At 48.2% G+C, this 21,400-nt stretch overlaps 1 protein-coding gene and 1 long non-coding RNA gene across 9 annotated transcripts in view, besides 3 other annotated features; both read left to right on the plus strand.

Moving 5' to 3' along the window:
- PLCG2 (phospholipase C gamma 2) overlaps positions 1–21,400 on the plus strand; it is a 223,645-nt gene that overhangs the window by 11,619 nt on the left and 190,626 nt on the right. For 2 of the 3 annotated variants that reach the window (NM_001425751.1, NM_001425749.1), the window contains exon 2: positions 5,211–5,307. The exons of the other annotated variant lie outside the window; for it this stretch is intronic. The gene's annotated coding sequence lies outside the window, so the exon portion shown is untranslated. The remainder of the gene's footprint in view (positions 1–5,210; positions 5,308–21,400) is intronic. 3 annotated transcript variants of the gene reach the window in all.
- Positions 1–21,400, plus strand: part of LOC105369213 (uncharacterized) — a 38,313-nt gene that overhangs the window by 11,619 nt on the left and 5,294 nt on the right. For 2 of the 6 annotated variants that reach the window (NR_189579.1, NR_189580.1), the window contains exons 2-3: positions 5,211–5,307; positions 16,065–17,210. This is a non-coding gene — a long non-coding RNA (uncharacterized LOC105369213). Of the gene's footprint in view, positions 1–1,872; positions 2,156–5,210; positions 5,308–12,764; positions 12,862–16,064; positions 17,211–21,400 lie in introns of those variants that run through there. The other 4 variants (NR_189584.1, NR_189583.1, NR_189582.1 and 1 more) reach the window with 3 other exon arrangements.
- Positions 1,407–2,015: an enhancer, noted in NCBI's record as "H3K27ac-H3K4me1 hESC enhancer chr16:81785671-81786279 (GRCh37/hg19 assembly coordinates)". NCBI's record gives its function as "activates a minimal SCP1, AML or CMV promoter by ChIP-STARR-seq in primed H9 embryonic stem cells {active_cell/tissue: H9 hESC(primed)}" and the evidence as "EXISTENCE:reporter gene assay evidence [ECO:0000049][PMID:30033119]".
- Positions 2,016–2,623: an enhancer, noted in NCBI's record as "H3K27ac-H3K4me1 hESC enhancer chr16:81786280-81786887 (GRCh37/hg19 assembly coordinates)". NCBI's record gives its function as "activates a minimal SCP1, AML or CMV promoter by ChIP-STARR-seq in naive H9 embryonic stem cells {active_cell/tissue: H9 hESC(naive)}" and the evidence as "EXISTENCE:reporter gene assay evidence [ECO:0000049][PMID:30033119]".
- Positions 7,782–7,841: an enhancer, noted in NCBI's record as "active region_11204". NCBI's record gives its function as "activates an Ori minimal core promoter by ATAC-STARR-seq in GM12878 lymphoblastoid cells {active_cell/tissue: GM12878}" and the evidence as "EXISTENCE:reporter gene assay evidence [ECO:0000049][PMID:35858748]".

A 21,400-nucleotide genomic window follows, 5' to 3' on the forward strand; every position in this document is an offset into this window, starting at 1 on the left:
GAGATTTTTTTTTTTTTTTTTTTTTTGAGATAGAGTCTCCCTCTTTTGCCCAGGCTGGAGTGCAGTGGCGCGATCTCGGCTCACTGCAAGCTCCGCCTCCCGGGTTCATGCCATTCTCCTGCCTCAGCCTCCCGAGTACTTGGGACTACAGGCGCCTGCCACCACACCTGCACCTGGCTAATTTTTTGTATTTTTAGTAGAGATGGGGTTTCAACATGTTAGCCAGGTTGGTCTCGATCTCCTGACCTCAAGATCCACCCACCTCAGCCTCCCAAAGTGCTGGGATTACAGGCGTGAGCCACCGCACCCAGCTTTTTTTTTTTTTTTTTTTTTTTTTTCAAACAGAGTTTCACTCTTGTTGTCCAGACTGGAGTACGGTAGTGCAATCTTGGCTCACTACAACCTCCACCTCCAGGGTTTAAGTGATTCTCCTGCCTCAGCCTCCTCAGTAGCTGGTATTACAGGTGCATTCCACCATGCCCAGCTAATTTTAGTATGTTTAGTAGAGATGGGGTTTCACTATGTTGGCCAGGCTGGTCTCAAACTCCTGACCTCAGGTGATCCACCTGCCTCAGCCTCCCATAGTGCTGGGATTACAGGCATGAGCCACTGCCTCCAGCCTGGAACTAGAGATTGATGGCCAGGGAAATTCTGTCATTTGCGACAACATGGATAAAGATGGAGAACATTATGCTAAGTGAAATAAGCCAGGCCCAGAAAGACAAGTGTCACATGTTCTCACTTATATGTGGAATCTAAAACAGTCAAACTCATAGAAGCAGAGAGTAGAATGGTGGTTACAGAGGCTCGAGGACGGGAAATGGGGAGATGGTGGTCAAAGCATACAAAATCTCAGATAGGAGGAATATGGGTTTTTTTTGAGACCTATTGTATGGCGTGGTAAATGTCATTAATAATAGAGTATGGTACATTTCAAAATTGCTAAGAGAGTAAATTCAAACAGTCTCATCACAAAAAAGTTAAGTGTTTGAGGTGATGGATATGTTAACTAGCTTTAATTATTCCACGTTGTATTCATAGATCATAATGTCACTTTTTACCCTATAAATATGTAAAAGAGTCCGGGTGCAGTGGCTCACAGCTGTAATCCTAGCCCTTTGGGAAGTCACGGTGGGTGGATCACCTGAGGTCAGGAGTTCAAGAGCAGCCTGGCCACCATGGTGAAATCTTGTCTCTACTAAAAATATAAACATTAGGTGGATATGGTGGCAGGCGTCTGTAATCTTAGCTACTCGGGAGGCTGAGGTGGGAGATTTGCTTGAGCCTGGGAGGCGGAGGTTGCAGTGAGCCGAGATTGTGCCACTGCACTCCAGCCTGGCCAACAAAGCAAGAGTCTATCTCAAAAAATAAATATAAAAAAAATATAATATATGTATATAATATATATAAAAGAGCTAGGATTTGAACCTGCAACTCTTCACTGTGATGTAGGCCCCGTCTATCACGTATGAACTATGAGCCTGCTGAGTGCTGGGTGCTGAGCTGGGAGCTCCCACTGTTCCCCAACACTGCGTCTCAGAGTTCCCTGATGCTGGAAGCCTGGAGGCCCTCACAATTCTAGGGTGTTTTTAGAATATCATTGTGGGGTGAAAGCAGGTTCCAGCTTCCCCAGGTGGAAGGTTCCAAGAAGCACCCGGCCAGCTCTGAGAAGTACCCGGCCAGCTCCTCCACTCTGCCTGACAGGGAGGGGACTGTGAGGGTTGGGACACGTCCTCTTTTAAGGCTCTCTCTTGCTGGCTTCTGACCACTTCCTCTTTTTCCTGGGGTGGAGGCGGCTGGCCGTGGCAGCACTAATAGCAGCTGGGGGCGGAGCAGGCCTCCAAAAACCCTCCCGGAGTGGCTCAGCCCCTCGGCTGAGGGCAGGAGAGCAAGAGTCCACTTCAGCTTCCATCTGAGGTCTCTGTGAGCCCCCAAAGGAGGGGCTGGGAGAGGTGGTCCCCTTAGCTCCCCCTCCCCAGCCAGAACAGAATCACTGACCCTGAGGCTTGGCCTGGGCTGCATCTGCTTCCAGCAACTTCCATGAAGGACGTGACTGTAGACGAGGCCCACTCCTTGCACGGCCAGGGCCCTCAGGGTGCCCAGGGAAGTGAGGGCCAGTGCTGGAAGCTCCAGCCTAGCACTGGGCACCTCCCCGGTGAGTGGCTGTTGGGGGCAGAGCTGCCAGCAGGGAGAGGACAGCTATGAAAGACGTGGCTCCAGGCCTTGCACTGCCACCTGTCAACTCGGGGCTTTGGGCAGGCTGCTTTTCTCCTTTGGGCCTCAGTTTCCTCATCTGTGTAGTGGAGACCAACCACGGTACTTCGAAGGTCTGTAGAAATTCCTGGTACACAGCAAGTGCTTAATAATGGTATGAGCTACTATTAGCTAGTGCCTGTGGCTCAGTCTGAGCTGTCCAGGGTGCCCCACCAGCTTCTGCTGAGGATGGCCAGTGGCAGCTCAGCTCTGCTCCCGGCCTCGCACCCTTCCACACCCCCTCGGCCCTGCCTCTCCCCGCCACCTCAGCCTGGCTTCCCACCTGTGGCAGGTGCAACCAAGCTCAGGTCCACACAGCACGAGCTTTAGTTTTCCCACTCACAGCCCCATTGAGCCAATTTGGTAAAACATCCACATTGGTCATTGGTGGGTTATGCCAAGTTCAGCATTGTGTTAAAGTCCTGGCAGGTTTTTTTTTTTTTTTTTTTTTTTTGTATTCTGGTTAAATATGTATAATATAAAATTTACCATTTTGACCATTTAATTTAATTTTTTTTTTTTTTGAGATGGAGTCTCACTCTGTTGCCCAAGCTGGAGTGCAGTAGTTGTATCTTGGCTCACTGATGCCTCCACCTCCCAGGTTCAAGCGATTCTCCTGTATCAGCCTCATTAGTAGCTGGGATTATAGGCGCACATTACCACGCCCAGCTAATTTTTGTATTTTCAGTAGAGAAGGGTTTCACCATGTTGGCCAGGCTGACCTGGCCTCAAGTGATCTCCCTGCCTTGGCCTCCCAAAGTACTGGGATTACAGGCATGAGCCACTGCACCCAGCAGTGCTGACTTTTGGGAGGGGATGAGGGAACCAGGAGGTGACAGATGCCACAGCCACTAATGCAGATGCCACAGCCATGACTGTAGGATGGGGAAAATATGAAGGGAGCTCAGCCGTTTTATCTCCAGGAGAAGCAGCTGGAGGGCTGGGAGAGGGCCTGGGGAGTGGGAAGTGGCTGCGGAGGTGAGACTCCCCCATCCCTGGGCCAACAGCCAGGGCTCCATGGTTGGGCTAGATGGTCCCACCTTGGGTGGAGGCTGAGCCTGTGTGAGGCGCTGCCCTGTGTCTTCTCTTGCCTGGCCTGGCCGCCATCACAGGCCCACCCCCGGGGAGAAGATTCTAGGAGGAAAGTCCAGGCCAGGCCTGAAAGGACTTCGCTCCTTGGTAACTATCCCTCAGGGTTGACCCAGTGACACAGGTTCTAGGGACCCACTTCTAGGTTTGCCGCCTCCATCTCCATCTCCGTCTCCACCTCCACCTGAGTTGAGAGGGGATGGAGAAGCTTCCTGGGGAAACTCTGCCCTTCTCCACCCATCCCCACCTCCTTCCCTTCCCTCCCCATCTCATTCCCTCCCCTCCCCACCTCCTTCCCTCGCCTCCCCCACCTCCTTCCCCTGTCACCTCCTTCCCGCCCATCCCCACCTCCTCCCCTCCCCTCCCCACCTCCTCCCCACCCCTCCCCACCTCCTCCCCTCCCCTCCCCACCTCCTCCCCACCCCTCCCCACCTCCTCCCCACCTCCTCCCCACCACCTCATTTCCACCCCTCCTCACCTCATTCCCCTCCTTTCCCATCTCCTTTCCATTTCCTTTTGCCTATACCTTGTACCAAGCTGGGTGGTGATCCACTTGGAAATTCACAAAGCAGTGCACAGCACTTCACAGTTTGTCAAGGACCTGGTAAGGTGTAGGTGCTCAATACTTGCTTTAGTGAATGAATGACTGTGGGGCCCCATGGCAGAGCTCACTAGTGGGAACCTCACGTGTCTCCCTAGCAATGTCAAAGGCCTGTCTGAAGTATGTGTGGGAGGGATCCCCAAAAGGGACACCAATAACTGCTCTGGGATATTTAATAAAATATGCTATGAAGATTGAATGGAATAATGTGTAGGAAATGCCTGCTACATTGTAGGTATTCAAACTTTAGTTATCATTATTATCTTTTATTTTAAAGAATAATCTGATTCTGGATCAGAAGCAGTGACTCCCACAAAGGTCATCAAAAAGGGAATGGTGCAAAGTGAGAGAACATTGGCAGAGGAAGAACCAGCTGTGTGTCCTTAGGCAAATTGCTTACCCTCTCTGAGCCCCCATTGCCTGATCTGTCAAATGGGTCTGGAAATCCTCACTTCCTCTGCTATTGTGGTAGGCATCAGATGAGATAAAAGATGAGTTCAGTCTTAGCAAGCAGGGAAGAGAAGCCCAGCTGAGCTGAGAGGTGGCTGACAATGGGAAACCACCCCAAGCCTGTTCCTTTATTTTTTATTTTTATTTATATATATATTTTTTGAGACAAGGCCTCACTCTGTCACCCAGGCTGGAGTACGGTGCCGTCATCGTGGCTCACTGCAGCCTTGACCTCCTGGGCTCAAGTGATCCTCCCGCCTCAGTCTCCCAAGTAGCTGGGGCTACAGGCATGCACCACCATGCCTGGCTAATTTTGTATTTTTTTTTTTTTTTGGTAGAGATGAGGTGTCACTATGTTGCCCAGGCTGGTCTCAAACTTCTGAGCTCTAGTGATCTGCCCACCTCGGCCTCCCAAAGTGCTGGGATTACAAGCGTGAGCCACCAAACCTGGCTTCAGCCTGTTTCTTTAACGTCAGCTTCTCTTATTTTTTGAGACAGAGTTTCACTCTGTCGCCCAAGCTGGAGTGGGGTGGTGTGATCTTGGCTCACTGTAACCTCTGCCTCCTGGGTTCAAGTGATTCTCGTCCCTCAGCGTCCCGAGTAGCTGGGATTACAGGCACCCGCCACCACATGCAGTTAATTTTTGTATTTTTAGTAGAGATGGGGTTTTACCATGTTGGCCAGGCTAGTCTCCAATTCCTGACCTCAAGTGATCCGCCTGCCTCGGCCTCCCAAAGTGCTGGGACTACAGGTGTGAGCCACTGCACCCAGCCTCAGCCTGTTCCTTTAACATCAGCTTCTGAAACTATCTCTGCAGAAGTTCTGAGGGTACCCCTCACTCAAGCTCCAGGCGTCAGGAAAAGAACATTCCACGAAGTCCATCTGGAAGACGGTCCTTTCCCTGCTGCCCCCAGGTAAGCACATGGCCTCCAATCTGTCCTCGACCAAACCCTGACTCCAGGCCAGTCAGCAGCACCGAGCCTGGCCTGTTTCCATGGAGAACAGGAAAGGCACCAGTGTGTCTGGGAGGAAAGACGGCTTCCTGTTCAAAGCCACAGATAGGATGGCCATAAAGCAGGGTAGTAGAATTGTCATTATTCCGCAAGATCAAATAGGGCTGCTAAGCCCAGGAACCGTCGGGGAGGCCCAATGGATGGGCCACATTTCCCCTGCAAGGCCAACTGGCAAGTGGCCACTGCCCCCTACCGCCTTTCAGATAGGGCTTCCTGTAGGAGTATGCTGCTATGCCGGGCTATTATTGTCAGTATTCACTGAGTGCATAGTATATGCCAGTCACTGACCTCAGCGATCTGTAAGATTTATCTCCTTTAATCCTCAGAACAAACTGCTATCTTATACGGCAGCTATTATTATTAACCCCATTTTACAGATGAGGGAACGGAGGCAGAGAGAGGTTAAGTATGTTGCCCAAGGTCACACAGTGGAGGAGCCAAGCCTGTACTCAATCCAGGTCATCTGAAACCAGAGCTTATGAAGGTGACCACACCATACAGTGTCTCAGGACAGGGGAGGCCAGGCACAGAGGTGGTGGGGGAAAGAAGGAAGCTAAGTGAGAGGTACCAGGTCCCAAGTGAACCCCTCATTAATACTGGTGTTGAAGAGGCGTGGACTTCGTGAGGCGGGTGTTATTGGCACTGTTTTACAGATAAGGAGCTGAGAGCCCAGAGAGACAGTGAGTTGCCCAAACAACAAAGCTGCGTTTGAGCCTAGATGTGTCTACTGCACAGCCTGGCTCTTCAGTGAGCTTGCTGCCTTATCCTGCTTCTTCAGCAGTTTGTTCCGAGTCTGATCTGTCTTGAGAGCCCCACAGCCTGGGGCACAGGCCTGGAACACACACACCGCGCCTCTACGCCTGTTTTTAGAAATTGTGTATGGGATTCCAGTGGTTCCTACTTGCTGCTACTTTGGGCAAAGGAGAGGAAATGTGGTAGGAAGTGTAGTGACTCTGTATCTTGGTGAGTGGTTGTTTGCCTGAGCTCAGATGCTGCTGGAATGAAGAGTTTTGAAAAGACAATCATTTTGGAATAGTTGCATCTCTTTTACTTTTGGGTGAGTCAAAGGAAAAAGGGAGCTCTAGGAGGGACCACATTGGAAATTCCATCCACCCACTCATCCACCCATCCGATCATTCAATCATCTCTTTATCCAATCATTCATCCATTCATCCATCCACCCACCCATTTTCTGGGCTCCAATTTTCTGCTAGGCCCTGGAAACAAAACACACAAAACCCCCAAACAAACAAAAAAACAAAAGAGTAAAAGCCTCATAGAAAAAAAAGCTGTTTAGTGACCAGCCTGGCCAAGATGGTGAAACCCCGTCTCTACTAAAAATATAAACATTAGCCGGGCGCGGTGGCAGGTGGCTGTAATCCCAGCTACTTGGGAGGCTGAGGCAAGAGAATCGCTTGAATCCAGGAGACAGAGGTGCAGAAGAGCCGAGAAAGCGCCACTGTACTCCAGCCTGGGTGACAGAGTGAGACTCTGTCTCAAAAAAGAAAAAAGACAAGAAAAAAGAAAAAAAGCTGTTGTTTCACATTTTCCTCCAGCACTTCCTATTTTTTACATTTGGAAAAGAGCTTTATTGAGATATAATTCATGTATCACGCAATTCACCCATTTAAAGTGTGATTCGATGGCTTATAGTGTATTCACAGAGCACTGACATCATCACCACAATCAATTTTTGAAACTTTTCATCACCCCCAAACAGAAACCCAGTACCCCTTAGGCCGTCACTCCCTATACCCCCTTCCCCCACCCCTTCAATTACTCATCTACTTTCTTTCTCTGTGGATTTGCCTATTCCGGACATTTCATGTACATAGAATCATATAATATGTGGCCTTTTGTGTCAGGCTTCTTTCACTTAGCATCATGTGCTGTCGTTATTGTTGCTGTTTTGTTTTGTTTTGTTTTTTGAGGCACTGTCTCGATCTGTCACCCAGGCTGGAGCGCAGTGGTGTGATCTCAGCTCTCTGCAGCTTCCACCTCACGGGCTCAAGCGATCCTCCCACCTCAGCCTCCTGAGTAACTGGGACCACAGGCGCTCGCCACCAGGCCTGGCTAGATTTTTGTATTATTTTGCAGAGATGGGGTTTCGCGGTGTTCCTCAGGCTGATTTCAAAGTCCTGGGCTCAAGCGATCTGCCTGCCTGGGCCTCCCAAAGTGCTGGGATTAGAGGTGTGAACCCTCGTGCCCAGGCTCACTTAGCATTGCATTTTCAACGTTTATTCATTTTGTAGCGTGGATCAGCAAATCGTTTCTTTTTATTGCTGAGTAATATTCCATTTTATGGATAGATCACATCTGGTTCATTTGTTCATCAGTTGACGGACATTTGGGTTGCCTCTCCTTTTGGCTATTATAAATAATGCTGCTGTTAACATTTATGTGTAAGTGTTTGTGTGGATGAGCTTTCATTTCTTTTTGGTATTTACCTAGGAGTGGCCTTGCTGAGTCATACAGTAGCTCTGCGTTTGACCTTTTGAGGAACTGCTAAACTATTTTCCACAGCAGCTGCAACATTTACTACTCCCACCAGCAGTGTAGGAAGCTTCCAATTTCTCCATATCCTCACCAATACTTGTTATTGTCCATCTCTCTTTTTTTTTTTTTTTCCTGAGACAGAGTCTCACTCTGTTGCCCAGGCTAGAGTGCAGTGGCACAATCTCAGCTCACTGCAACCTTTGCCTCCCAGGTTCAAGCGATTCTCCTGCCTCAGCCTCCCGAGTAGCTGGGATTACAGGTGCACACCACCATGCCCAGCTAATTTTTATATTTTTAGTAGAGACGGGGTTTCACCATGTTGGCCAGGCTGGTCTCGAACTCCTGACCTCAGGTGATCCACCTGCCTCGGCCTCCCAAAGTGCTGAGATTACAGGCGTGAGCCACCGCACCCGGCTATCGTCCATCTTTTTAAATTTAGCCTTTCTAGCAGGTGTGAAGTGAAACCTCATTATGGTTTTAATTTACATTTCCCAGGAAGTATCTTTACGTGTTATTATCAGTCATTTGTATATTTTCTTTGAAGAAATGTCCATTTGGATTCTTTACCCACTGTTAATTGGGTTGTCTTTTCATTATTGAGTTGTAAGAGTTCTTTATAGATTCTAGATACTAGTCCTTTATCAGATACATGATTTGCAAATATTCTTTCCTATTCTGTAGGCTCCAGTTCCTTCTCATTGTTTTGTTTTGTTTTTGGTTTTTAAAGCACACATCCTCATGCTAAGATATTTGAAAAAGCCAAAAATGTATAAAGAGATGGAAAAAGAACCTCCCACAGACCACTATGATTAATATTTAATCTTTTTTATTTCCCTTTTAAATATATTTACTTATGTTATTTATTCTTTGATAGGTAATATCTGCACTGCTGCAGAATTCTAAAGGTCTAAAATCACAGATTCAATGAGTCTCCCAAGCAGGAAAGCTGCATTTTCAACCTGAATAGATCTACTGCAAAGCCTGGCTCTTTCAGTGCCTCTGCCACCGTATCCTACTTCCTCCAAAGTTTCTTTCTAGTCTGATCTGTCTTGAGACCCCCAGTGCCTGGAGCCCCTGTCATCCAAACTCCTCCTAGGGACCGCTACTGTTGCCGCTTTCTAGATGATCTTCCAAGGATAGCTTATAGCTTGTATATATGGACATATACTTGTCAAATTTCCCTTAAATTGTACGTTACCCATTGCACTGAGCACTTGTCCGTAGCTCCTTTCCAGTCTTGTAGCTCTGCTGAGTTTTCTTTCTATAGTTAAGAATACAATGTAGGCCGGGCGTGGTGGCTCACGCCTGTAATCCCAGCACTTTGGGAGGCCGAGGCGGGCAGATCACAAGGTCAGGAGATCGAGACCATCCTGGCTAACACGGTGAAACCCCGTCTCTACTAAAAATACGAAAAATTAGCCGGGAGTGGTGGCGGGCGCCTGTAGTCCCAGCTGCTGGGGAGGCTGAGGCAGGAGAATGGCGTGAACCTGGAAGGCGGAGCTTGCAGTGAGCCGAGATCGCGCCACTGCTCATCTATCAGTTGTAGGAGGCACAGCAGGAATTCATTCTAGTGTTAGGAAGAATGAGGAATTTATTAAAGGACATTAGGTGGCTTGGAGAGTCTCCAGGAGGGCAGAGATCCAGGTCTGGAGTCTACATAGCCAGAAACAAAGCACAACCACAGGTGGGATTGCTCGAGTAGAGCAGTGCCCACTGCCAGGACTGGGCACAGAGCATGGCTGGTTCTGCTGGGCTCAGGGTGCTGCACCCTCTGGTTCTCTCCCTCCAGATACCAGGTGTTTCTGCCACTACCTTTGCCAGATATGTACCCTCTGACACCTGCTTCTCTTGTTGGTGGCTTTTGGACACAAGCCTGATGCTGGTACGTCTGACTATGGGGCAGAGCTGAGCGTCCCTACCCAAGCTGCAAGGGAGTGTGGGAAAACAAGATCTGGCTTTTTCTTTGGCTAGGTGTGGCCTTATATGGGGAGGCAGTCAAACATAGGAGGTCAAATTTTGCTGGGCACCCAAAAAGAATGGCAGAGCCCACTACATAATACTTATATGGGCTGAGCACAATGGCACATGCCTATAATCCCAACCCTTTGGGAGGTCAAGGTGGGAGGATCACTTGAGGGCAGGAGTTCAAGAGCAGCCTGGGCAACATAGTGAGACCCCGTCTCTATTAAAAAAAAAAATAATAATAATAATAATAATAATTAGCTGAGCATGGTGGCAAGTACCTATAATCCCAGCACTTTGGTAGGCTAAGGCAGGAGGCTCATCTCTGGCTAGGAGCTCAAGGCCAGCCTGTGCAATATAGTGAGATCCCTGGCTTAAAATTTTTGTTTGTTTGTTTGAGGACAGAGTTTCACTCTGTCACCCAGGCTAGAATGCAGTGGCGTGATCTCAGCTCACGGCAACAGCGACCTCCTGGGCTCAGGTGATTCTCCTACTTCTCAGTAGCTGGGACTATAAGTGCGCACCACCACACTTGGCTAATTTTTGTATTTTTTGTAGTAACAAGGTTTCACTATGTTGCCCAGGCTGGTCTCAAACTTCTGGGCTCAAGTGATCCTCCCACCTTAGCCTCCCAAACTGCTGGCCTTACAGGTATGAGCCACTTGCGCCCAGCTACAAAAATGTTTTTAAAGTTAGCTGGGTGTGGTTGTGCATACTTGTAGTCCTAGCTACTCAGAAGGCTGAGGCAGGAGGATCTCTTAAACCCAGGAGTTCAAGGATGCAGTGAGCTATGGTCAAGCCGCTACACTCCAGCCTGGGCAACAGGGCCAGACCTTGTCTTTAAAGTAATAATAATAGTAATGATAATACTTAAATGTAAGTGTATTGTAATTATGAAAGTGTAATTCTTCTGATTATAACACAGTACATGGGTGAGAGGTGACGCGTTGTAATGGTTAAGCTTGGGCAGCAGCCTGGGAGCTGACTGCCTAGGTTAGAGTCATATGTCTTTCCCTCGGCTAGCCTTTCAAACTTGACCATGGCTCGAACTTCATTATGCCCCAGTTTCCTCCTTTGTAAAATGGGGATCAAAATAGAACACCCCTCATGGGTTGGGCTGAGGATGGGATGAGTTAACAGACATAAGGCTTAGAACCATATCTAGCTCATTGTATTTGCTATGTAGTTGTTTGCTCTTCTCATTTTTCCAATCTTTTATTATAAAAATTTTAAAACATACAGAAAAGTAAAAAGGGTTGTATAGCAAGCATCCATCTAGTCACTACCTATGATTTCACCCTGCACATTTTTTTTTTTTTTTTTTTGCGCATGGAGTCTTGTTCTGTCACCCAGGCTGGAGTGCAGTGGTGTGATCTCGGCTCACTCTAACCTCTGCCTCCTAGGTTCAAGTGATTCTCCTGCCTCAGTTTCCCAAGTAGTTGGGACTACAGGCATGCACCACCACGCCCAGCTACTTTTTGTATTTTTTAGTAGAGATGGGGTTTCCCTATGTGGTGGCTAGGGTTGTCTGGAACTCCTGACCTCAGGTGACCTGTGTACCTCGTCCTCCCAAAGTGCTCAGATTACAGGCATGAGCCACCACGCATGGCCCCTGAACATTTACTCTGTTTGCTTTGTCACATCTGTCTATGCCTCTTTCCAATTATTAATGCATGTTAATTTTAATGCATTTCAAAGTAATGGCAAATGCATACATATGTTGCTATTATTTTTTTAAAAAGAAACTGTCAACTGTTAAAATGGTCTGGGCATGGTGGCTCACGCCTGTAATCCCAGCACTTTGGGAGGTCAAGGTAGGCGGATCACCTGAGGTCAGGAGTTCAAGACCAGCCTGGCCAACATGGGAATATCCTGTCTCTACTAAAAACACAAAAATTAGCCTGGTGTGATGGCATGCTCCTATAGTCCCAGGTACTCGGGAGGCTGAGGCATGAGAATCGCTTGATCCTGGTAGGTGGAGGTTACAGTGAGCCAAGATTGCATCACTGCATTCCAGCCTGGGCAATAGAGTGAGACTCCGTCTCAAAAAAAAAAAAAGTGTATAAAATTGTCTGTATTTTCCTTTAACATAAGGAACAGAGTCCTATAGATGAAACAGAATCATTAGGTTGAGGGGAGAGTGAAAAGGCAGGCCAAGGGACTTCCTGACAATGGGAAAAGCCTGAGCAAAAGAATACACCACTGCAATATCCCCCCAAGTCCCCAAGGCTGGCTGATCAGGCAGAGCCCCTTCAAATGGGCATTAAAAATACTTGCTAATCCCAAGGTTTTGGGTGGCCAAGGCAGGAGGATCACTTGAGGCCAGGAGTTTAAGATCAGCCTCAGCAACATAGTGAAACCTCACCTCTACAAACAAATTTTTAATTAGCGGGAATGGTAGCACATGCCTGTAGTCCCAGCTACTCAGGAGACTGAGGCAGGAGGATCCCTTAAGCCCAGGAGTTAAAGGCTGCAGTGAGATATGATCATGCCACTGTATTCTAGCCTGGGCAACAGAGTGAGACCCTGTCTCTTAAAAATAATTAAATCAACAAAAAATAAGATAAAATACAAAAGATAAAAATACTTGCTTGCTCAGATTTGATTTAGAGGAGACTGAAGAAGAGGCCTTACAGAAGGCAAAGAAGGAAAGTTCCAGATGGGAGAACCCAGCCTCTCCTCCACTGCCGCAGATGATTCTGCTGTAGCCCAGATTTGCAAGCTCCACTCAGCAAAATAATCTCCCTGTATCAGTCATCCATTGCTGCATAACAGATGACTCCAAAATGCAGTGGCCTAAAGCAACAATAACTCAGATTTTCTCATGGTTTCTGTGGGTCGGGTATTTGGGAGTGGCTGGGAAGTTCCAGCTCTCTGCAAGGTCTCTTGTCCAGCTGCAGGTGGATGCCAACTTGGGCTGGGGCCATCTCCAAGGTGTCCTCCCTCTCACGGCCTGTGCCTGGGCTGGGAAGATGTGAGCAGAGGTGAACTTTACAGGTGAGGCTCCCCGGGCACCTCTCCAGCATGGTGAGGTCAGGGTAGCTGGTCTTCTAACGTCATCTTGGGGCTCCTAAGTTGTGTGCCTCAAGCCAGGCAGAAGCTGTCACACATTGTCCCTTTTACTACATTCTATTGAGGCAGCTATAAAAAGTTACAAAGGGGGCCGGGTGTGGTGGCTCATGCCTGTAATCCCAGCACTTTGGGAGGCTGAGGTGGGTGGATCACCTGAGGTCTGGAGTTCGAGACCAGCCTGGCCAACATGGTGAAACCCCATCTCTACTAAAAATAGAAAAATTAGCTGGGCGTGGTGGCAGGCACTTGTAATCTCAGCTACTCGGGAGGCTGAGGCATGAGAGTCGCTTGAACCCAGGAGTCGGAGGTTTCAGTGAGCCAAGATTTTGCCACTGCACTCCAGCCTGGGCGACAGAGAGACTCTGTCTCAAAAAACAAAAACAAAAACAAACAAAAAATAGTTACGAAGTTCTGAGGCTGGGTGCAGTGGTTCAAGCCTGTAATCCCAGCACTTTGGGAGGCTGAGGCAGGAGGATTGCTTAAGCCCAGGAGTTCGAGACCAGCCTGGGTAACATGGTGAGACCCCATTTCTATAAAAAATTTAAAAAATTAGCCAGGTGTGATGGTGTGAGCCTGTATCCCTAGCTACTCCGGAGGCTGAGTGGGAGGATTGCTGGAGCCCAGGAGGTCGAGGCTGGAGTAAGCTGTGATTGATTGAGCCACTGTACTGCACCCTGGGGGACAGAGTGAGATCCTGTCTCAAAATAAATAAATAAATAAGTAATAAAAAGTGAAAAGTTACAAAGATCTGGCAGATTCAAGGAAAGGAAACCTGGACCCCATCTCTCCATGGACGAATGTCAATGTGACAGTGTAGAAGAGCATGTGGGATGGAGGAAGAATCAGGGGATGTGTCTTTGGAAAGTGCAATTGCCCACAGCTGGCATCTGAATAGATTCACTCTCCTCAAAGACACTTTTGCGACACTGATCACTGGCCAAGCGTGCCCCGTGCAGGTCTCACCCTCCAGCCCATGCAGTTGTCTTTCAGCCACAGGCTGAACACTGGCCATCCCAGCTGTGTCAGAGGACTTTGGCAAGCCTAATTTTCTCCATCTTTTTTATTACCTTGTGGACCAGGTTGAACAGTGTCCCCCAAATTTATGTCCAGCTGGAACCTCAGAACATAGCTGTATTTGGAAAGAGGGTCTTTGCAGATGTAATCAAGTTAATATGTGGTCATACTGCATTAGGGTACATCCTAAATTGATGAGGCTGGGTGTGGTGGTTCAATCCCGTAATCCCAGTACTTTGGGAGGCCTAAGTGGGCAGATCACTTGAGCTCAGGAGTTCGAGACCAGCCTGGACAAAACTGAGACCCTGTCTCTACAAAAAATATAAAAAATTAGCCGGGCATAGTAGTGTGCACCTGTGGTCCCAGCTACTCGGGAGGCTGAGGTGGGAGCATTGGTTTAGCCTAGAGGTGAAGGCCGCAGTGAACCGTGATCACCCCATTGCACTCCAGCCTGGGTGACAGAGTGAGATGAGACACTGTCCCCCCACAAAAAAAATAAATCAATGACTGGTGTGTCATAAGAAGAGGGACATTTGGACACAGAGACATGCACAGAGGGAAGATGATATGAAGGCAACACAGCGACACACAGGGAGAGCACCATGTGACAACTGAGGCAGAGGATGGGGAGAGGCATCTGCAAACCAGAACACACAAAAGATTCCCAGCAACCACCCAAAGCTTGGAGAGAGGCATGGGACAATCTCCCGCAGAGCCTCCGGAAGAAAGCAACCATGCCGGCCAGGTGTGGAGGCTCATGCCTGTAATTCCAGCACTTTGGGAGGCCCAGGAGGGCAGATCACTTGAGGTCAGGAGTTCAAGACCAGCCTGGGCTACATGATGAAACCCTGTTTCTACATAAAATACAAAAATTAGCTGGGCGTCATGATGGGCACCTGTAATCCCAGCTACCCGGGAGGCTGAGGCAGGAGAATTGCTTGGACCCGAGAAGCAGAGGTTGCTGTGAGCTGAGGTGGTGCTAGTGCCCTCCAGCCTGGATGACAGAGTGAGACTCGGTCTCAATAAATAAATAAATAATAAAGAAGAAACCAACCCTTTTGACCCCGGGGTCTCAGACTTTTAGCCACCACATCAGCGAGTTATGGTGTTTGTTATAGCAGCTCTGGGAAACTAATGCATGTTTTCAGTGACATTTTAGCCCCTTCTGAATGGTCTGGATGGCTGGTTGACAGCTAAGTTCAGACCCGATGCAAAAGCCCAGTCTATGTAGGAATGTCCCCTGTGGACAGCTGCTGTGTAGCCAAGGTGGGTTACATACTAGGAAAGGGCCCTGGGGGCCCCCACAGGGAGCTAACTCTATTGACGGGGGACCCAGGTAACAGATGCAGGCATTTGCTGTGAGTCACAAGACACTGATGTGTGTTTGCTTGCTTGGGTATTTTTTTACTTTTTGTTTTTTAACTTTGTAAATGAGGCTTAGCCTTCCCAGGTGTGTCCTACCTCTTCTGTCTCCTGTCTCCCATCTCTGTGTCCTGTCTCCTGGAGCTGGTTTGATTTTGTCAACATGGGCACTGTTTATGATGGCAACAGCTGTGACCTTTAGAGTCAAGAGGAAATCCACCTACAGGGACTCAGGCCTTTCTCTCCAAGTGGGGCCATAAACTGTTATTCACCAAAACATGGGGGAGGCATAGGAGGGAAACACAGCCTCTCCTAGGGGAAGCCACTCTGTTTCTCCTCTGCAGGGCTGGAGACACAGGTGGACACCTGGCTGTGCCCCCAACCCTGCCCTCAAGCTCTGCACCATTTTGTAACCCTCAAAAGCAATCAGGCCTCTGTACTTGCTGAGCCCACTGCCTGAGAAGTCCATTTTCCAGGCCCTCACTTAGCCAGCGCCTCCTCCTCCTCCTCTTCCTCCTCCTCCTCCTCTTCCTCCTCCTCCTCAGGTCACCCTCCTCCAAGAAGCCTTTGTGACCACCACACAAAAACCCAGCCCTTCCTCCCCCATTATATTCATCTGCTCTGCTAAAGTGCTCACCCCACTGGAAATGATCTTGTTTATGTGTTTCCTTGTTTACTGTCTGTCTTCAGTAGAATGGAAGAGCCATCGGTATTTTGTCTTTTTTTCCCCTTGTCCATTCTTATATCCTCAGCTTCTAGAACATTCCCTGGAACACAGCAAGTGTTCAGTATTGTTCATGGAGTGACAGATGTCTCAGCCAAGAAGGTACAATCACAGGGAAGAATGACTTCAACTGGTCTTGACTTCAACCTGCTTCCAGCCTGGTTCCCTTCTCCCACCTCCCTACAGCCCACAGAAGATCTTTTCCAAACTGGAAGTCTGTCCAGGTCATTCTTCTGCTCTAAGGCTTTCAGTAGCTCCCCCTTATCCCCAGGAGGAAGTCCAAATGCCTTAACAAGTGTCAAGGAACACTTGGTGAGCCCTGCTTTCCTTGCTAGTCACTCGTGCACAGCTGAGTCTTTCCCCAGAGTGGATGTCATTCATGCTGTTCCCATTGCCTGGATTCCTGCTCCTCTCCACCCCATTCAACTGATAAACTCGTGGTTTTTTTTTTTTTTTTTTTTTTTTTTGAGACTGAGTCTCGATCTATCACCCACGCTGGAGTGCAGTGGTGCAATCTCGGCTCACTGCAACTTCTGCTTCCTGGGTTCAAGAGATTCTTGTGCCTCAGCCTCCCGAATAGCTGGGGTTACGGGCGTCTGCCAACATGCCTGGCTAATTTTTGTATTTTTAATAGAGATGGGGTTTCACCATGTTGGCCAGGCTCTTCTCAAACTCCTGACCTAAAGGGATCCCCCCGCCTTGGCCTACCAAAGTGCTGGAATTACAGGCGTGAACCACTGTGCCTGGCCTCAACTGATACACTCTTGTCCTTTTACTAGGCTCAGCTTAGGGACCGTCACCTCCAGGAAGCCTTCCCAACCTGCACTGATCACTTCTTCTTCTTCTCTTTGGGATTATCACTTGTATTGTAATAAAATCTTGTTTTTTTTCTTTAAAAAATATTATTTGCATTCAGCAAAATTCACCCTTTTTGATATACAGTTCTGAGGTTTTTTTTAGTTCTATAAGTTTTGTCAAATATGTAAAGTTGTAATCTCCAACACAATCAAAATATAAAACAATTTCCTCACCCCTCCCCAATTCCCTTATGCTCTTTTGTATCCAACACTTCTTCCCACTCCAGCCCCTGGCAACCACGGATTTGCTTTCTGTCTGTACAACACTGCCTCTTCCAGAATGTCATATATAAAATCACGCTGTTTATAACCTTTAATGCTGGTGTCTTTTTTGGGGGGAGTCGGTGAGGGAGTGGGACGAAGTTTTGCTCTTGTTGCCTAGGCTGGAGCTCAATGGCACAATCTCAGCTCACTGCAACCTCTACCTCCAGGGTTCAAGCGATTCTCCTTCCTCAGCCTCCTGAGTAGCTGGGATTACAGGCACCCGCCACCATGCCCACCTAGTTTTTGTATATTTAGTACAGATGGGGTTTCACCATGTTGACCAGGCTGGTCTTGAACTTCTGACCCACCTCGGCCTCCAAAAGTGCTGGGATTATAGGCGTGAGCCACCATGCCCGGCCTAATGCTGGTGTCTTTCACTCAGCTTAGTCATGCATTTGAGATTCAGCCTTGGTCTTGTGTGTATCAATAATTACTTTTTATAGCCGAGTGCTACTTCACTGTATGAATGTTTGTTTATCCAGTCACAAATGAAGGACATTTGGGTTGTTTCCAGTTTGCAGTGATTATGAATGAAACTACTGTAAACATTAGTGTTTTTCTGTGGACATATGTTTTCATATCTCTTAGGTAAATACAGGTGAGTTTGCTGGGTCATATGGTAAGTGAATGTTTAACTTTTTAAAGAAACTGCCCAGCTGTTTTCCAACGAGGCTGCACTGTTTTGCATTTCCACCAGTGGATCCACATCCTCACCAGCACTCGGTGTTATCCTCAGTTTTTTTTTTTTTTTTTTTTTTTTTTTCCCGAGATGGAGTTTCGCTCTTGTTGCCCAGGCTGGAGTGCAATGGTGCGATCTCAGCTCACTGCAACCTCCGCCTCCCGGGTTCAAGCGACCCTCCTGCCTCAGCCTTCCGAGTAGCTGGGATTACAGGTTTCCCCCACCATACCTGGGAAATTTTTTGTATTTTTAGTAGAGATGGGGTTTCACCATGTTGGCCACGCTGGTCTCCAGCTCCTGACCTCAGGTGATTCATGCACCTCGGCCTCCCAAAGTACTGGGATTACAGGTGTGAGCCACCGTGCCCAGCCTATTGTCAGTGGTTTTTTATTTTAACCATTTTAATAGGTGCGTATTTTTTGTTCAACCAGTTGGTCTTCCCCAGCAGCCTGGGACTCCTGACAGAGAATAAATCTTTCATCTCCTTATCCTCAGAGCCTGTAGTAGTAACTGACATGTGGTAGGTGCTCAAGAAATGCTGTGGGCTGATTGAATGAGTCCATTCATGGAATGAATGAATTTCTTGACTGCATGAATGAGGGTTCTATTGAAACAGTGCTTAAGGTAAGTTTGTCTCAGATGCCATGTGAGTTTCTCTGCTCCCCCACAAAGGAACTCACCATGAGTGATGAGCTGGTCTTTCTGAAATGGTTGCCGCAGGTAAAACCCCCTTACCATTACGTCTAATATCTTCCTGTATCTGCCCAAAGTGCCCAGACTGCTTCTACCTCTGAACAGGCTTGCCTGGGTTTCTTCCCTGTTGTTTCAGTGAAAGGCACTGGTGCCCATACTAGAGGGTGCAAGAGAATGATAGCGGCGGGCGGCAGTTAAATGCGGATCCCTAGGCCCTGCCCCTACGTTCTGATTCAGTAAGGCCAATAACTCCCGGCGCATCTCAGACTTTTCTAAGGCCCCCCAGGAGAGGTGAGAGTCCTCTGTAGAAGTGTAAATAATTCTAGGTCTTGAAAAAGACATGGGGCCGGGCGCGGTGGCTCACGCCTGTAATCCCAGCACTTTGGGAGGCCGAGGCGGGCGGATCACGAGGTCAGGAGATCGAGACCATCCCGGCTAAAAAAACGGTGAAACCCCGTCTCTACTAAAAATACAAAAAAAAATTAGCCGGGCGTAGTGGCGGGCGCCTGTAGTCCCAGCTACTTGGGAGGCTGAGGCAGGAGAATGGCGTGAACCCGGGAGGCGGAGCTTGCAGTGAGCCGAGATCCCGCCACTGCACTCCAGCCTGGGCGACAGAGCGAGACTCCGTCTCAAAAAAAAAAAAAAAAAAAAAAAAAAAGAAAAAGACATGGGCCTTCAGATTCTAGTTCTGCCACCACTGGTGTTTCACACCTGCCGGTCGCTTAATGCCTCTGAGCCTCGGTTTTCTTATCTGTAAAGCTGTCCTGAAAGTAATGGAGCTTCCCAGTTCCACTGTGAGGATGAAATACATTGACTGCACGAAGGGCCCTGATGCAAGGTAGATATTCAATAAATGTTGTGGATTTTGGTAAGCCAAAAAGATTCCAAATGCTTTCTCTCCACCCCCTTCGCTAACTGCCTTATATTTTAATTTTTATTGATGCATAACAACGCAGAGAAGTGTACAGTTCACTGGATCTTCACACACTGAACACACCCACGCCCACATCACCCACACCCCAACCGAGAAACCAGCACCCCTCAGGACTCGCCTGGGTGCTGCTCATCACCACCTTCCCAAGGGCAACCGTTCTGACTACTAGCAGCCTTGTTTTTGAAACAGTTTTAGTTTTCTATAACAACTAAGACATGCATAGTAAAGAATATTTAGAAAACAATGACAAGAGAAAAGTCAGAGACATGTGAACATATTGAACAGCCTTTAAAAAATATTAATTTTTTGGCCTGGTGTGGTAGCACATGCCTGTAATCCCAGCCCTTTGGGAGGCTTAGGTGGGAGAGTCGTTTGAGCTCAGGAGTTCAGGACCAGCCTGGGTAACACGATGAAACCTTGTCTCTATAAATAAATACAAACATCTAGCCAGGCTTGGTGATGTGTGCATGTAGTCCCAACTACTTGGGAGGCTGAGGTGGGAGGATTGTATGAGCCCGGCGGAGAGGGCAGAGGTTGCAGTGAGCTGAGATTGCGCCACTGCCCTCCTGCTTGGGCTACAGAGTGAGACCCTGTATCAAAATAATAATACTAACTTTCTGTTGAGGTATAACGTGCATAAAATGGCCCAGATCAGGCCGGGCGCGGTGGCTCACGCCTGTTATCCCAGCACTTTGCGGGGCCGAGGCGGGCGGATCGTGAGGTCAGGAGATCGAGACCATCCTGGCTAACACGGTGAAATCCCATCTCTACTAAAAAAACAAAAAATTAGCTGGGCGTGGTTGCAGGTGCCTGTGGTCCCAGCTACTCGGGAGGCTGAGGCAGGAGAATGGTGTGAACCCGGGAGGTGGAGCTTGCCGTGAGCCGAGATTATGCCCCTGCACTCCAGCCTTGGTGACAGAGCGAGACTCCATCTCAAAAAAAAAAAAAAATAAATAAATAAATAAAAGGCCCAGATCATAAGTACAGAGCTCAGTACATTTTCATAAAGTGACTAACCCATGTGACCACAAGATCAAAACCTAGAACATCGCAGCCCTCAAGGTCCTTCCTTCTGCTGCCTCCAAGGCAGTGAGATTCTCTATTCTGACTTCTTTTTGTGTGTGAGAAAAAGTCTCTTTCTGTTGCTCAGGCTGGAGTACACTGGTGTTGTCACAGCTCACTGCAGCCTTAAACGCCTGTGCTCAAGGGATCCTCCCATCTCAGCCTCCCAAGTAGCCAGGACTATTCTGACTTCTAAAAGCACTGATGAGTTTTGTGAAACACAGCCTTGTTTTAGACAAAGCTTCCCTCTCTCTGGTGCTGTTGGAGAACTCTTGCTCATCCCTCAGGACCCAGTTCTGAGGTTACCTCCTCTGAGAAGTCTTCGCAGCTCCATGAGGCAGAGGATTAGCCCTTGCCTGATTTGTCCCTCTAATTCAGCTCTTGCCATTCTGTGATAGTAAATGCCTCTTCCTGCTGTCTCCCCATTGAGAGGTAAATAGGTCTAATCTATTTGCCTAATATAGGGTACAGTGGGTTGAATTGTGACCCCCCCCAACCCCCCACCCAAAAAAAACAACAACAAAAAAACTAAGTCCTAAACCCTGCACCTGTGAATGTAACCTTACTTGGAAATAAGGTTTGTTTTTGTTTTTGTTTGCTTGTTTGTTTGTTTTTTTGAGTTGGAGTCTCTCTCTCTTGCCCAAGCTGGAGTGCCAGGGCAGGATCTCCGCTCACTGCAACCTCCACCTCCTGGGCTCAAATGATTCTCCTGCCTCAGCTTCCCAACTAGCTGGGACTACAGGCTGTGCCTCTACGCCTGGCTACTTTTTGTATTTTTAGTAGAGACGGGGTTTCACCATGTTGGCCAGGCTGGTCTTAAACTCCTGGCCTTAAGTGATCTGCCCACTTCGGCTTCCCAAAGTGCTGGGATTACA

This window comes from Homo sapiens, chromosome 16 (assembly GCF_000001405.40).
Source record: "Homo sapiens chromosome 16, GRCh38.p14 Primary Assembly".
NCBI classification, from domain to species: Eukaryota; Metazoa; Chordata; class Mammalia; order Primates; family Hominidae; genus Homo; species Homo sapiens.